A 15,929-nucleotide genomic window follows, 5' to 3' on the forward strand; every position below is an offset into this window, starting at 1 on the left:
TTTGTTTGTTTGTTTGTTTGTTTTTGAGACAGAGTTTTGCTCTTGTCACCCAGGCTGGAGTGCAATGGCACAATCTCGGCTTACTGCCACCTCCGCCTCCTGGGTTCAAGTGATTCTCCTGCCTCAGCCTCCTGAATAACTGGGAATACAGGCACCCACAACCACACCTGGCTAAATTTTGTATTTTTAAAGTAGAGACAGGGTTTCACCATGTTGGTCAGGCTGGTCTCGAATTCCTGACCTCTGGTGATCCACCCGCCTCGGGCTCCCAAAGTGCTGAGATTACAGGTGTGAGCCATCATGCCCAGCCAAATAGTTCTAATAGAGATTTCTTATTGGTTTTGTACCATTGCAGAGAGCAAGAAGAACCCTCAGGGGTGTCAATAGAAGCCTACTGTAGTGCCCGCCTGATATCAGCCAGTGGGTATATGTGAGTACAGCTATACTAGTTTTGTTTGTTTGTTTGTTTAGATGGAGGTCTCACTCTGTTGCCCAAGCTAGAGTGCAGTGGTGTGATCATGACTCACTGCAGCCTTGACCTCCTGTGCTCAAGTGATCCTCCTGCCTCAGCCTCCTAAGTAGCTGGGACTACAGGCAGGCTTTAGTGTCTGGCTAGTTATTTTTTGTACAGACAGGTGTCACTAAGTTACCCAGGCTAGTCTTGAACTCCTGACTTCAAGTGATCCTCCTGCCTCAGCTTCTCAGAATTCTGGGATTATAGGAGTGAGCCACCATGCCTGGTCAGCTATACTAGTTTTAAATTATTGAACTACTTCTTTCTCTTTGGTAGACAGTTGCTTTCCTGAGCCCCTGAGTGCTCCTACCCTGAGCCCTGGGCCCAGTCCTCCCAACTCCTTGTCGTACAGTACCAATTAAAAAATATTTTGAGTATCACCCTGCTTTGGGCTAGTGCTTTTAATGCTTTTAGCTAATAACTAAGTTCTATAAAAAACATATTTCATTGAGCTTGCAGGTCACACTAAGGAGGGTAGAATATTAAGAGGACAAATTTGACAATCATAAGGAGTATATGGTTAGTAAAAATGGGAAGAAATTTTAGAGAAGTGGGATGAAAATATAGCAGCAATCTCTCTGCACCTTGACGTTGATGATAATCATCAATATTCCTCATCTTTGTTCTAACTAGAAAGGTGAGAGAAATGAGAAAGAGGCCTGAAAGGGAAGGAGAGAGGGCCTGGCATGGTATAGATGTACCAGAAATATTTGTAACTGAATAAATAGTTGAATACATGACTGGATGACAGTAGAAGTGCCACCACAGAATATTTGTTTCTGAGCACTGAATAAGATAGTCAGTCAATGCAACAAGTGTAAAGCACCTGCTCTGTGTTAGGTTTGGGCTAGGATACAAAGTGGAATCAAACATGGTCTTACCAAAGACTATTAATTAATTTAGAAGAAAAATATAAGGTTGAGAAATGAGAAATGTATGCAGCAAGGAATTGATGGGCCAGAGGAAGTTCTGGTATTAAAAAGAAAAAGAAGTTAACATGATACTGGTATTAGTAGAAGTAAAACCACCAAGCTTTATGAGATCCTTCTCCCACTCTACCCAGCCTTACTAAACTGACACTCAGTATGGGCCCCACCTTTTAAGACAATGTTGAGAATGCGTAAATGCTCCAAGAGAGTAGCCATAAGCAGGGCTGACTTCATGGGCATACAACAAGCGCAGTCCCAGCAGGCCACTCTCAGAAGGGCACTGCACTTGGTGGTTAAAAGCTGTGTCATCTTGAAATTCTTAATATTTTATCTTTGAATTTGTGTTCTGTGAGTGAAGTCCAATGGGACAGTGGAGCATGCGCGTAAGCAGAGGAGATACATGCGTGCTGGTTTCCCTCATGCCTGCAGATCCATTTGCAAAACATTCAGGATTGCTACCCTGCTTCCATGACACACAAGAAGTGTGTCTACTTGCTTGTACTTGCTTTGAGTCTTGCCCACCTCCTATGTATGTGGGTCCACCAGAATTCTGTGCTCATGTCTCACACCTCATATCAGCAGATGCTCATACTGTCATGTGCTCCACATGTATCAACATGTGCCCAGACCAACACGTCTACAATAGCAGAGGTGCTGATAGCCCCAAGAAGCCATCCTTTCCATTAGAACTGGAACTTGTTTCCAATGCAGAAAGAAGGTAATGGTATTCAGAGAAATAAGAATGACCTAGGAACCCTATCATATACAGTTTTTTTTTTTTTTTTGAGACAGAGCGTTGCTCTGTTACCCAGGCTTGAGTGCAGTGGCGTGATCTCGGATCACTGCAACCTCTGCCTTTCAGGTTTAAGGGATTCTCTTGCCTCAGCCTCCTGAGTAGCTAAGATTACAGGCATGTGCCACCATATTCAGCTAATTTTTGTATTTTTTAGTAGAGACGGGGTTTAGCCATGTTGGCCAGGCTGGTCTCAAACTCCTGGCCTCAGGTGATCCACCCACCTCGCCCTCCCAAAGTGCTGGGGTTACAGGCATGAGCCACTAAGCCCGGCCTCTATCATATACATTTTTACTTGCATTATTTCCTGTATGACCCAATCACTTATGTTAAAAATGTTGACATAGAAGGAAAGGGGAAATAGGTCCATCCATAGTTGCCATATTATAAGGAATAAGTTCTTTCCTTCTTTCTTCCTTCCTTCCTTCCTTCCTTCCTTCCTTCCTTCCTTCCTTCCTTCCTTTCTTTCTTTAAGACACAGTCTCTCTCTGTTGACCAGGCTGGAGTACAGTGGTATGATCTTGGCTCGCTGCAACCTCTGCCTCCCAGGTTCAAGCAATTCTCCTGCCTCAGCCTGACAAGTAGCTGGGACTACAGGCATGTGCCACCAGGCCCAGCTAATTTTTGTATTTTTGGTAGAGACAGGGTTTTGCCATGTTGGCCAGGCTGGTCTCAAGTTCCTGACCTCAGGTGATCTGCCTGCCTTGACCTTTCAAAGTGCTGGGATTACAGGTGGGAGACACTGCACCCAGCCAGGAATAAGTTCTTTCTTATTCATCAGTGATCCAAAGGTAGAGTGTTGGTAGAATGTGAACATATCAAGAAATAAAATAAAAAGTTTTATGCAGTATTATCATTGTTCTGATAAGAATGAAACAATTTATATTTATGAGCTCTAAAATGCAAATTGTGAAATTTTAGTGATTCCACATATAAGATAAAAGCTCTCGTAATTTCTATTTAAAACTGGCATTGCATAAAATAAGATGAATGGTAAAATTCATTCTAATAATTAAATTTAAACTTTAAAATTTAGAATACTTCTATTACACTTAAAAAACATTATTTTTAAATGTGGTAAAATACATATAACATAAAATTTACTATCTTAACCATTTTTAAGTGTACAGTTTGGTGACATTAAGTACATTCACATTGTTGTGCAATGATCACCACCATCTAACTCCAGAATTTTTTTATCTTGCAAAACTGAAATTCTGTACCTATTAAATATTAACTCCTCATTCTCCCCTCTCTCCAGCCCCTGCCAACCACCATTCTATTTTGACTACTGAATTTGACTACTCTAGATACCTCATAGAAGTGGAATCGTAAAATATTTGTCCTTTTGTGACTGGCGTATTCTACTTTATATAATATCCTCAAAATTCATCCATCTTTTAGAATTGTCAGAATTCCCTTCCTTTTTAAAGCTGCGTAATATTCCATTGTATGTACATTCCACATTTTGCTATCCATTCATCTGTCAGTGGACACTGGGTTGCTTCTACTCCTTGGTTATTGTGAATGGTGCTGCTATGAACATGAGTATAGAAGTATCTGTTCGAGCCTCTGCTTTCAATTATTTTGGGTATATACCCAGAGTGGAATTGCAGGATCATATGGTACTTCTATTTTTAGTTTTTTGAGCAACTGTCACACTGTTTTCTCTAAAGTCTATACCAATTTACATTCCCAACAACAGTGCACAAGGGTTCCAATTTTCCCACATCCTCGCCAACACTTATGTTCTGTTTTTTTTTTATAGTATCCATTCTAATAAGTGTGAGGTGGTTCCCTTCCCTTCCCCTCCCCCTCCACCTTCCCTCCCCCTCCCCTCCCCCTCCCCTCCCTTTCCTTTCTTTTCCTTTCCTTTCCTTTCCTTTCCTTTCCTTTCTTTTTGACAGTCTTACTCTGTTGCCCAGGCTGGCGTGATCTCGGCTCACTGCAAACTCCACTTCCTGGGTTCAAGCCTCAGCCTCATGAGTAGCCGATTCTCCTGCCTTGGCCTCATGAGTAGCTGGGACTACAGGGGCGTACCCCTACACCTGGCTAATTTTTGTATTTTTAGTAGAGATGGGTTTTCACCATGTTGGCAAGGCTGGTCTCCATCTCCTGACCTCAAGTGATCAGCCTGCCTCAGCCTCTCAAAGTGCTGGGATTACAGGCATGAGTCACCATGCCCGGCATGAGGTAGTATTTCATTGTGATTTTGATTTTGATTTCCCTAATAATTATTGATGTTGACCCTATTATGCTTTGTAATTAATAAAAACATTTTTAAAGGAAAATGTCTTATATGTTGGTACTTTAACATCATTTTTTCCATGCTCTTTTTTTCTCACTGCCTCTTTGATCAGGTCTTTATTCAAAAGAAGCTGTCCAAAATGATTTGACCTTTATGGAATAATCAAATTTAAGAGTTTATGCAGCAGGCTTCTTTCCTCTGTAGTAGGTTTCTTTTCTGCTGGCTTCTTTTCAGGGACTGGTTTCTTGGTAGCTGCTGCCTTTTTTCCCACCAGAGGTTTCTTCTGCTTCTTAACACCAACAGCAATCTTCTTTCCTTTCTTACCTACCACAGGCTTCTTGCCTGCAACCCCCTTCTCATCCGATTTGGCTTCTAGTGCTTCAGCTGCTGCTGCTGCCTTATCCACCCAGAGCTTGTGATTCCTGGCCTGGCGAAGAATGGTGTTCTGACACATGCATGGTCTTTGCATGTAGGTTTAGCTTCAACATGATTCTCAGGTTTTTCAGTGGGTTCTTCTTTAGGACTCTGCGATGAATCTTGTTGCGTGGTGCTCAAAGGGCTCTTTGGATTTCTGGGCTTTTCAAGATTCTGCTAAGATCTGTATTGATCATCTTATGGATGGGAAGATTGTAGTTACTCTTGAGAGAAGAAGCTTTACGCCAAGTGCCATTAAATTCATCTAACTTCTGGAAAGCACTTTTGGTCCAAATGCAGAAAAGTCCCACATGCCCACCAGGAGCAAGCTTCAAAATGTTCAGTTTGCTTACATTAAGCAGAGTAATTCCAGGGATGTTTCTGAAGGCCTTGATGATACCATTATCCTCATTATAGATGATGTAGGGGCCTGTGCACTGGATACAATGACGGTTTCTCATTTTGCCCTTGCCAGCTCTCATTCGCTGAGAGGCATAGTCCTTTTTGATATCATTCCAGGCTTTAAATTTCTTAAGAAGCGAAACAGCCTCCTTGGTCTTCTTGTACCCTTCAACTTTATCTTCGACTACCAAAGGAAGTTCAGGAACTTCCTCAATACTATGACCTTTAGACATGACCAGTGCTGATAAGGCTGAGGCAGCCAGGGCAGAACAGACGGCATATCATTTTTGGGTTGTGTTCACTCTATGATCCTAACGGCATCAGGTTTTGGTTGGTGCCAACATTCGGCCTCCACAACACATGTTTCCAGAAGCACCCTGGCCAGAATGGTGAGTCCCATAACACCTTGAACTCTGGGAATTTGAGCCACAGCTCTGCCGGTACCCCAAGATTCAGCACTGGTCTGACGACCTGCTAATTCACTGACAGCATAGGGCTGTCTGTTGTTTTTGTGCAAGTTGGTGTGAACAAAGTTCACAATATCTGGTCGAATAGGAGCCTTGAATACAGCAGGCAAAGTGACATTTTTGCCAGATGACTCCCCACTTTCAGAGTACACCGATATTAGTAGGCGAGCACATGCCATGGTGGAGAGGAGAGAGCCACGCTCCTCTCACCATGGCTGTTGCCACAGGCAAAGTTCTCTGTGCTTTTAAAAATGTGCCCCACATTTTAATTTTGCGTTGGGTCCTGGAAATTATGTAGCCAGCCTTACATATGGGAAAGAAGGTTAATGAAAAAAATGGACTGGGTAGTAACTTAATAATCTGAGTGTATGATACTTGTTTATCACCTGTTTCCCATCTCTATTGACTCAGTGAAAGTCTGAGAGATTTATTTAGAAAGGAAAACTGCCTTAGTGTCTGCAGCTTCCCGTAAAGAATCTGATCACTTGTTCCACTTTGGATTACAGCCTCGCCTCTGTCACACATCACCTGTGTAAGTGCCGGGCAAATCATTAAACTTCTCTCTTGAGCCTTGATTCCAGAGGGGTTATGGGTCTGGTGGCCAGGTAGGTAGTAGAGGGCAGATCCTGAGATGGGCCAGCATCCTCCTGGAAGTTACTTGCCTTGTTTTGAGGCTACTGAATAGCTTTCAAGCAAGCAAGAGTGAAGGGGGAAATGGGGTTTTATGTTTCAACAAGGGGGACTGGGCCACTTCTGCAGGTCCAGGGAGTTCTGGGGAATCTGAGCATTCAAGATCCTCAAGTAGGCTGAGTGCAGTGACTCATGTCTGTAATCTCAGCACTTTGGGAAGCTGAGGCAGAAGGATTGTTTGAGCCCAGGAGTTTGAGATCAGCCTAAGTAACATAGCAAGACCTCATCTCAATAAAAAACAAAACAATTAGCTGGGCATGGTGGCATGTGCCTGTAGACCTGACTACTCAGGAGGCTGAGGCAGGAGGATTGCTTGAACACAGGATGTTGAGGCTGCAGTGAGCTGTGATGGTGCCACTGCATTCCGGCCTAGGCAACAGAGTGAAATCCTGTCTCAAAAAAAAAAAAAAAAAAAAGGAAAAGAAAGACCCTTAGGGGCGACTACCCAGATATCCCATCCCAAGTCTCTAGGCCCTGTTCTTTCCCTAACAAGATCCTGACTTTGGCATAGGAAACTTGCTGAGGCCGAAAATTCATCCTTCTTTGAAATTCTGCCACCTTAAAACTAATTCTGGGCCTGGTCTTCAACTCTCTCTGCTCTTCAGCTTCAGGAAATAAAGGTCTCTTTAACTACTCTCCATTAGAGAATTAGAGATCTCTGATTCTCATATCTTGCTTTAAATTCACAATTGATTGCCCTGCATCTGTCACATCTGTCGTTTTCTTTTTTTCCAAGCTAAGAATGGAGTTTAGCAGCAGCCGCTCCATGTCAAAATCCTTAAAATGACCGTATCTCCTGTTCCTCTCAAATGCCAGAGATGGCATGACTTTCACATTCCCCTCTACTTGTATCCCTCTCACTTCACCAGAGGTGAACACTTTAGCAATGAATGGCACTGCTACTGCATGTCAGAGACTACTGATATCAGTACTTACCCCACCTACCACCAGTGATGTGATCCTTATTGCTCTCTCTTCAGTGGGTGATCTAATTCCAGAATCCCATCCTTAGAACCTGTTTTCTGGGACCAATACTGGTACTAACCCTCTTCAGTTGGGCTCTTTAGAAACAGTTGGCTACAGGGATTCAGGTACATGTGATTTATTGAAGGAGTGTTCAACTATCTAAGAGACTAAGAGATGCAAGACAATGAAGGGAAAGGGCCAAGCAAAAATGGTCTCAGGTAAAGTCTAGCCTTGGCCAGATTCAAGGGTGTGTGTGGCATCTGAAGCATATATCACAACATGGAGTTGTCCCACCTTCAGATAAGGGGTTCAGCCTTTTTGACCCCAATATCAGTCTACCATTGGCTCCAAGGTACCTCCAGGAATGGGACATAATTCAGAGGTGAGGTGGCTCCCATTGGCTGACAGCAGTTCTCCAGAGAAGGGGGCAAATGTGAGCCATTGGCAGCCAACGTTAACAACATCCACAATAATAGCTGGGGAATGGAATCTGGGCATCAGATGCACTTTCTACCCTCCTTTCAGGATGGTGACCGGTGTGGCTTACACCGCTAGGATTCCTTGCCCTTTGTTTTTCAATGGGGTTCAAAAATAGGGGAGTCTGGCTGGGTGTGGTGGCTCATGCCTGTTATCCCAGCACTTTGGGAGGGCGAGGTGGGATCACTTGAGGTCAAGAGTTTGAGACTGGGCTGGCCAGCCAATATGTTGAAACTCCATCTCTACTAAAAATACAAAAATTAGCCTGGTGTGGTGGCACGTGCCTGTAATTCCAGCTACTCAGGAGGCTGAAGTGGGAGAATCGCTTGAACCTGGGAGGCGGAGTTTGCAGTGAGCCAAGATTGCACCACTGCACTCCAGCCTGAGCGACAGAGTGAGACTTTGTCTCAAAAAAAAAAAAAAAAAAAAAAAAGCGGAGTCCTAGCATCAGGTCACAGGGAATAAAACAACAACTAGGCCAGGGTATTTATTCCCCTGGCATCCTCCCTGTAAGATCACCTTAGGCTGGCTGCATCCCCTGGCCAAAAGTCAAGGTAGCCCTCTGCATGTGACTTTGTCCTTCCAGGTTTTAGTAACCTCTGCCTTCCCTCAACCCTTCAAGGTGTACTATCCTTTGTAGTTTCTTTAAGCCCTACTACCTTTATAAATTTACCTTTATTAAATTCTCCTTGAATTATTTTGAGTGTGCTGTGATGTAAAACAGAATGCTACCCTGGCAGCAACTGATGAGATCAAGGAAGGTAAGCAGTTCAGTTTTCACTGTAAGTGCAATGAGACTTCATCAAAGGGTTTCAAGTAGAAGAATTATCTGTTTTTGAACTCTCAATTTTGATTTCTCCCTTAGCTGCCAGTATAATGTAAATTTTCCAGTAATTTTTATCAAGAAAAGAGACAAGGACGTTATGTTTTCTGAACTCTCATATTTTTAAGAATATTGTGTTTGTGGTTTTCATTTTTTTTCTTTTTAAAGACAGGGTCTTGCTCTGTCACCCAGGCTGGAATGCAGTGGTGCCATCATGGCTTACTGCAACCTTGACCTCCAGAGCTCAAATGATTCTCCCACCTCAGCCTCCTGAGTAGCTGGGACTCCAGGCATGCGCCACCATGCTTGGCTACTTTTTTTAGTTTTTGTAGAGACAGGTTCTCACTGTGTTGCCCAGGCTGGTCTCAAACTCCTGGGCTCAAGTGATCCTCCTGCTTCAGCCTCCTAAAGTATTGGAATTACGGGTGAGAGCCACTGAGCCCAGCCTGGTTTGCATTCTTTTTAAAAAATTTTCCAATGGTCCATAGAATCCTCAATGGTTTTCATTCTTCTTTTTTTTTTTTTTTTTTTTTGAGATGGAGTCTGGCTCTGTCGCCCAGGCTGGAGTGCAGTGGCACGATATCGGCTCACTGCAAGCTCCACCTCCCGGGTTCACGCCATTCTCCTTCCTCAGCCTCCTGAGTAGCTGGGACTACAGGTGCCCTCCACCACACCTGGCTAATTTTTTTTTTTTTTTGTATTTTTAGTAGAGATGGGGTTTCACCGTGTTAGCCAGGATGGTCTCGATCTCCTGACCTCGTGATCCGTCTGCTTTGGCCTCCCAAAGTGCTGGGATTACAGGCTTGAGTCACCGTGCCTGGCCTGGTTTTCATTCTTAAGTGACAACTGGTTTGGTATAAAAATTCTTGAGTCACAGCTGTATCCTCTCAAAAATCTACAGATGCTGTTTTAGTATTCTATAATTCAGTGGCAGAAAAGATGGAGGCAAGCTTAATTTTTGCTTCCTTGTAGGTAACACATTTTTCAGGTCTCAATGCTTATAGAATTTACCCCTTTAATCTTACTATTCATATACTCTACTACAAGGTAACTTAATGTGTCTTTTGATAATTTTTTTTTCTCCTGAAGGACTTTATTAAAACTTAAGTTTTCATTAAAGAATACATCAAAGAATAATGTTTCTGATGATTGCTCTGTTTCACTCTTTTTGGATTTCTTCCACAGGAACACTATGTAATTCTTAGTAGGCCTTTTTTTTTGGTCTCCTAGATCTAACATCACACTGTCCATTTACAGTTTTGATGTTTTTCCTCTGTGTTCAGTGGCAGCTTCTTGAACCTCTCTTCTGCATCACTGATTTTCTTCAATCAATTCTACTCCTCACTGCTTCAGTGAAGGGCTTAATGTTTGTGTTGCAATTTGTTTCCTGGCAAATTATTTTAACTTGCTCCCCTTTTGGCTGACCTAACTGTATACATAACACATTTAATTGTACTTCTTTTCTTGCCTTTTCTCTCTTTATGACTTTCTGAATTCCAAAAGCATCGGTTTCATCCTGTTGCAGATGCTGAGGTGCTCAAAATCAATTTAGTTCTTGTGGTACATCATTTTTTTTTTTTGTACACACGCATCTCTTTCTTTTTTTTTTTTCCTTTTTTTTCTTTATTATTATTACACTTTAAGTTTTAGGGTACATGTGCACAATGTGCAGGTTAGCTACATATGTATACATGTGCCATGCTGGTGCGCTGCACCCACTAACTCGTCATCTAGCATTAGATATATCTCCCAATGCTATCCCTCCCCTCTCCCCCAACCCCACAACAGTCCCTTGAGTGTGATGTTCCCTTTCCTGTGTCCATGTGTTCTCACTGTTCAATTCCCACCTATGAGTGAGAATATGCGGTGTTTGGTTTTTTGTTCTTGCGATAGTTTACTGAGAATGATGATTTCCAATTTCATCCATGTCCCTACAAAGGACATGAACTCATCATTTTTTATGGCTGCATAGTATTCCATGGTGTATATGTGCCACATTTTCTTAATCCAATCTATCATTGTTGGACATTTGGGTTGGTTCCAAGTCTTTGCTATTGTGAATAATGCTGCAATAAACATACATGTCCATGTGTCTTTATAGCAGCATGATTTATAGTCCTTTGGGTATATACCCAGTAATGGGATGGCTGGGTCAAATAGTATTTCTAGTTCTAGATCCCTGAGGAATTGCCACACTGACTTCCACAATGGTTGAACTAGTTTACAGTCCCACCAACAGTGTAAAAGTGTTCCAATTTCTCCACATCCTCTCCAGCACCTGTTGTTTCCTGACTTTTTAATGATTGCCATTCTAAATGGTGTGAGATGGTATCTCATTGTGGTTTTGATTTGCATTTCTCTGATGGCCAGTGATGGTGAGGATTTTTTCATGTGTTTTTTGGCTGCATAAATGTCTTCTTTTGAGAAGTGTCTGTTCATGTCCTTTGCCCACTTTTTGATGGGGTTGTTTGTTTTTTTCTTGTAAATTTGTTTGAGTTCATTGTAGATTCTGGATATTAGCCCTTTGTCAGATGAGTAGGTTGCGAAAATTTTCTCCCATTTTGTAGGTTGCCTGTTCACTCTGATGGTAGTTTCTTTTGCTGTGCAGAAGCTCTTTAGTTTAATTAGGTCCCATCTGTCAGTTTTGGCTTTAGTTGTCATTGCTTTTGGTGTTTTAGACATGAAGTCCTTGTCCATGCCTATGTCCTGAATGGTAATGCCTAGGTTTTCTTCTAGGGTTTTTATGGTTTTAGGTCTAACATTTAAGTCTTTAATCCATCTTAAATTGATTTTTGTATAAGGTGTAAGGAAGGGATCATTTCAGCTTTCTACATATGGCTAGCCAGTTTTCCCAGCACCATTTATTAAATAGGGAATCCTTTCCCCATTGCTTGTTTTTGTCAGGTTTGTCAAAGATCAGATAGTTGTAGATATGCGGCGTTATTTCTGAGGGCTCTGTTCTGTTCCATTGATCTATATGTCTGTTTTGGTACCAGTACCATGCTGTTTTGGTTACTGTAGCCTTGTAGTATAGTTTGAAGTCAGGTAGTGTGATGCCTCCAGCTTTGTTCTTTTGGCTTAGGATTGACTTGGCGATGCGGGCTCTTTTTTGGTTCCATATGAACTTTAAAGTAGTTTTTTCCAATTCTGTGAAGAAAGTCTTTGGTAGCTTGATGGGGATGGCATTAAATCTGTAAATTACCTTGGGCAGTATGGCCATTTTCACGATATTGATTCTTCCTACCCATGAGCATGGAATGTTCTTCCATTTGTTTGTATCCTCTTTTATTTCCTTGAGCAGTGGTTTGTAGTTCTCCTTGAAGAGGTCCTTCACATCCCTTGTAAGTTGGATTCCTAGGTATTTTATTCTCTTTGAAGCAATTGTGAATGGGAGTTCACTCATGATTTGGCTCTCTGTTTGTCTGTTGTTGGTGTATAGGAATGCTTGTGATTTTTGTACATTGATTTTGTATCCTGAGACTTTGCTGAAGTTGCTTATCAGCTTAAGGAGATTTTGGGCTGAGACAATGGGGTTTTCTAGATATACAATCATGTCATCTGCAAACAGGGACAATTTGACTTCCTCTTTTCCTAATTGAATACCCTTTATTTCCTTCTCCTGCCTAATTGCCCTGGCCAGAACTTCCAACACTATGTTGAATAGGAGTGGTGAGAGAGGGCATCCCTGTCTTGTGCCAGTTTTCAAAGGGAATGCTTCCAGTTTTTGCCCATTCAGTATGATATTGGCTGTGGGTTTGCCATAGATAGCTCTTATTATTTTGAGATACGTCCCGTCAATACCTAATTTATTGAGAGTTTTTAGCTTGCAGGGTTGTTGAATTTTGTCAAAGGCCTTTTCTGCATCTCTTGAGATAATCATGTGGTTTTTGTCTTTGGTTCTGTTTATATGCTGGATTATATTTATTGATTTGCATATATTGAACCAGCCTTGCATCCCAGGGATGAAGCCCACTTGATCATGGTGGATAAGCTTTTTGATGTGCTGCTGGATTCAGTTTGCCAGTATTTTATTGAGGATTTTTGCATCAATGTTCATCAAGGATATTGGTCTAAAGTTCTCTTTTTTGGTTGTGTCTTTGCCCGGCTTTGGTATCAGGATGATGCTAGCCTCATAAAATGAGTTAGGGAGGATTCCCTGTTTTTCTATTGATTGGAATAGTTTCAGAAGGAATGGTACCAGTTCCTCCTTGTACCTCTGGTAGAATTCGGCTGTGAATCCATCTGGTCCTGGACTCTTTTTGGTTGGTAAGCTATTGATTATTGCCACAATTTCAGATCCTGTTATTGGTCTATTCAGAGATTCAACTTCTTCCTGGTTTAGTCTTGGGAGAGTGTATGTGTCGAGGAATTTATCCATTTCTTCTAGATTTTCTAGTTTATTTGCGTAGAGGTGTTTGTAGTATTCTGTGATGGTAGTTTGTATTTCTGTGGGATCGGTGGTGATATCCCCTTTATCATTTTTTATTGCATCTATTTCATTCTTCTGTCTTTTTTTCTTTGTTAGTCTTGCTAGCGGTCTATCAATTTTGTTGATCCTTTCAAAAAACCAGCTCCTGGATTCATTAATTTTTTGAAGGGTTTTTTGTGTCTCTATTTCCTTCAGTTCTACTCTGATTTTAGTTATTTCTTGCCTTCTGCTAGCTTTTGAATGTGTTTGCTCTTGCTTTTCTAGTTCTTTTAATTGTGATGTTAGGGTGTCAATTTTGGATCTTTCCTGCTTTCTCTTGTGGGCATTTAGCGCTATAAATTTCCCTCTACACACTGCTTTGAATGAGTCCCAGAGATTCTGGTATGTTGTGTTTTTGTCCTCATTGGTTTCAAAGAACATCTTTATTTCTGCCTTCATTTCGTTATGTACCCAGTAGTCATTCAGGAGCAGATTGTTCAGTTTCCATGTAGTTGAGTGGTTCTGAGTGAGATTCTTAATCCTGAGTTCTAGTTTGATTGCACTGTGGTCTGAGACATAGTTTGTTATAATTTCTGTTCTTTTACATTTGCTGAGGAGAGCTTTACTTCCAAGTATGTGGTCAATTTTGGAATAGGTGTGGTGTGGTGCTGAAAAAAATGTATATTCTGTTGATTTGGGGTGGACAGTTCTGTAGATGTCTATTAGGTCTGCTTGGTGCGGAGCAGAGTTCAATTCCTGGGTATCCTTGTTGACTTTCTGTCTTGTTGATATGTCTAATGTTGACAGTGGGGTGTTAAAGTCTCCTATTATTAATGTGTGGGAGTCTAAGTCTCTTTGTAGGTCACTCAGGACTTGCTTTATGAAACTGGGTGCTCCTGTATTGGGTGCATATATATTTAGGATAGTTAGCTCTTCCTGTTGAATTGATCCCTTTACCATTATGTAATGGCCTTCTTTGTCTCTTTTGATCTTTGTTGGTTTAAAGTCTGTTTTATCAGAGACTAGGATTGCAACCCCTGCCGTTTTTTGTTTTCCATTTGCTTGGTAGATCTTCCTCCATCCGTTTATTTTAAGCCTATGTGTGTCTCTGCATGTGAGATGGGTTTCCCGAATACAGCACACTGATGGGTCTTGACTCTTCATCCAATTTGCCAGTCTGTGTCTTTTAATTGGAGCATTTAGTCCATTTACATTTAAAGTTAATATTGTTATGTGTGAATTTGATCCTGTCATTATGATGTTAGCTGGTTATTTTGCTTGTTAGTTGATGCAGTTTCTTCCTAGTCTTGATGGTCTTTACATTTTGGCATGATTTTGCAGTGGCTGGTACCGGTTGTTCCTTTCCATGTTTAGCGCTTCCTTCAGGAGCTCTTTTAGGGCAGGCCTGGTTGTGACAAAATCTCTCAGCATTTGCTTGTCTGTAAAGTATTTTATTTCTCCTTCACTTATGAAGCTTAGTTTGGCTGGATATGAAATTCTGGGTTGAAAATTCTTTTCTTTCTTTTTTTTTTTTAATTGATCATTCTTGGGTGTTTCTCGCAGAGGGGGATTTGGCAGGGTCATAGGACAATAGTGGAAGGAAGGTCAGCAGATAAACAAGTGAACAAAGGTCTCTGGTTTTCCTAGGCAGAGGACCCTGGGGCCTTCCGCAGTGTTTGTGTCCCTGGGTACTTGAGATTAGGGAGTGGTGATGACTCTTAACGAGCATGCTGCCTTCAAGCATCTGTTTAACAAAGCACATCTTGCACTGCCCTTAATCCATTTAACCCTGAGTGGACACAGCACATGTTTCAGAGAGCACCGGGTTGGGGGTAAGGTCATAGATCAACAGCATCCCAAGGCAGAAGAATTTTTCTTAGTACAGAACAAAATGGAGTCTCCTATGTCTACTTCTTTCTACACAGACACAGCAACAATCTGATTTCTCTATCTTTTCCCCCCATTTCCCCCTTTTCTATTCAACAAAACCGCCATCGTCATCATGGCCCATTCTCAATGAGCTGTTGGGTACACCTCCCAGATGGGGTGGTGGCCGGGCAGAGGGGCTCCTCACTTCCCAGAAGGGGCGGCCGGGCAGAGGCACCCCCCACCTCCCGGACAGGGCGGCGGCAGGGCAGAGGCTGGCCCCCACCTCCCTCCCGGACTGGGCGGCTGGCCAGGCGGGGGCTGACCCCCCACCTCCCTCCCGGATGGGGCGGCTGGCCGGGCGGGGGCTGACCCCCCACCTCCCTCCCGGACGGGGCGGCTGGCCGGGCGGGGGCTGACCCCCCACCTCCCTCCCGGACGGGGCGGCTGCCAAGCAGAAACCCTCCCCCCTTCTCAGACGGGGCAGCTGCCAAGCGGAGGGGCTCCTCCCTTCTCAGACGGGGCGGCCGGGCAAAAACCCTCCTCCCCTCCCAGACGGGGTCGCGGCCGGGCAGAGGTGCTCCTCACATCCCAGACGGGGCAGCAGGGCAGAGGCGCTCCCCACATCTCAGACGATGGGCGGCCGGACAGAGATGCTCCTCACTTCCTAGACGGGATGGCGGCCGGGAAGAGGCGCTCCTCACTTCCCAGACTGGGCAGCCGGGCAGAGGGGCTCCTCACATCCCAGACGATGGGTGGCCAGGCAGAGACGCTCCTCACTTCCCAGACGGGGTGGCGGCCGGGCAGAGGCTGCAATCTCGGCACTTTGGGAGGCCAAGGCAGGTGGCTGGGAGGCGGAGGTTGCAGCGAGCTGAGATCATGCCACTGCACTCCAGCCTGGGCACCATTGAGCACTGAGTGAACGAGACTCC

The 15,929-nt window shown here is 43.2% G+C and overlaps 1 pseudogene; it reads right to left on the minus strand.

Moving 5' to 3' along the window:
* On the minus strand, positions 4,572–6,000 carry RPL4P3 (ribosomal protein L4 pseudogene 3; annotated as a pseudogene).

The sequence above is a fragment of the Homo sapiens genome, chromosome 1, assembly GCF_000001405.40.
Source record: "Homo sapiens chromosome 1, GRCh38.p14 Primary Assembly".
In the NCBI taxonomy this organism is placed as follows: Eukaryota; Metazoa; Chordata; class Mammalia; order Primates; family Hominidae; genus Homo; species Homo sapiens.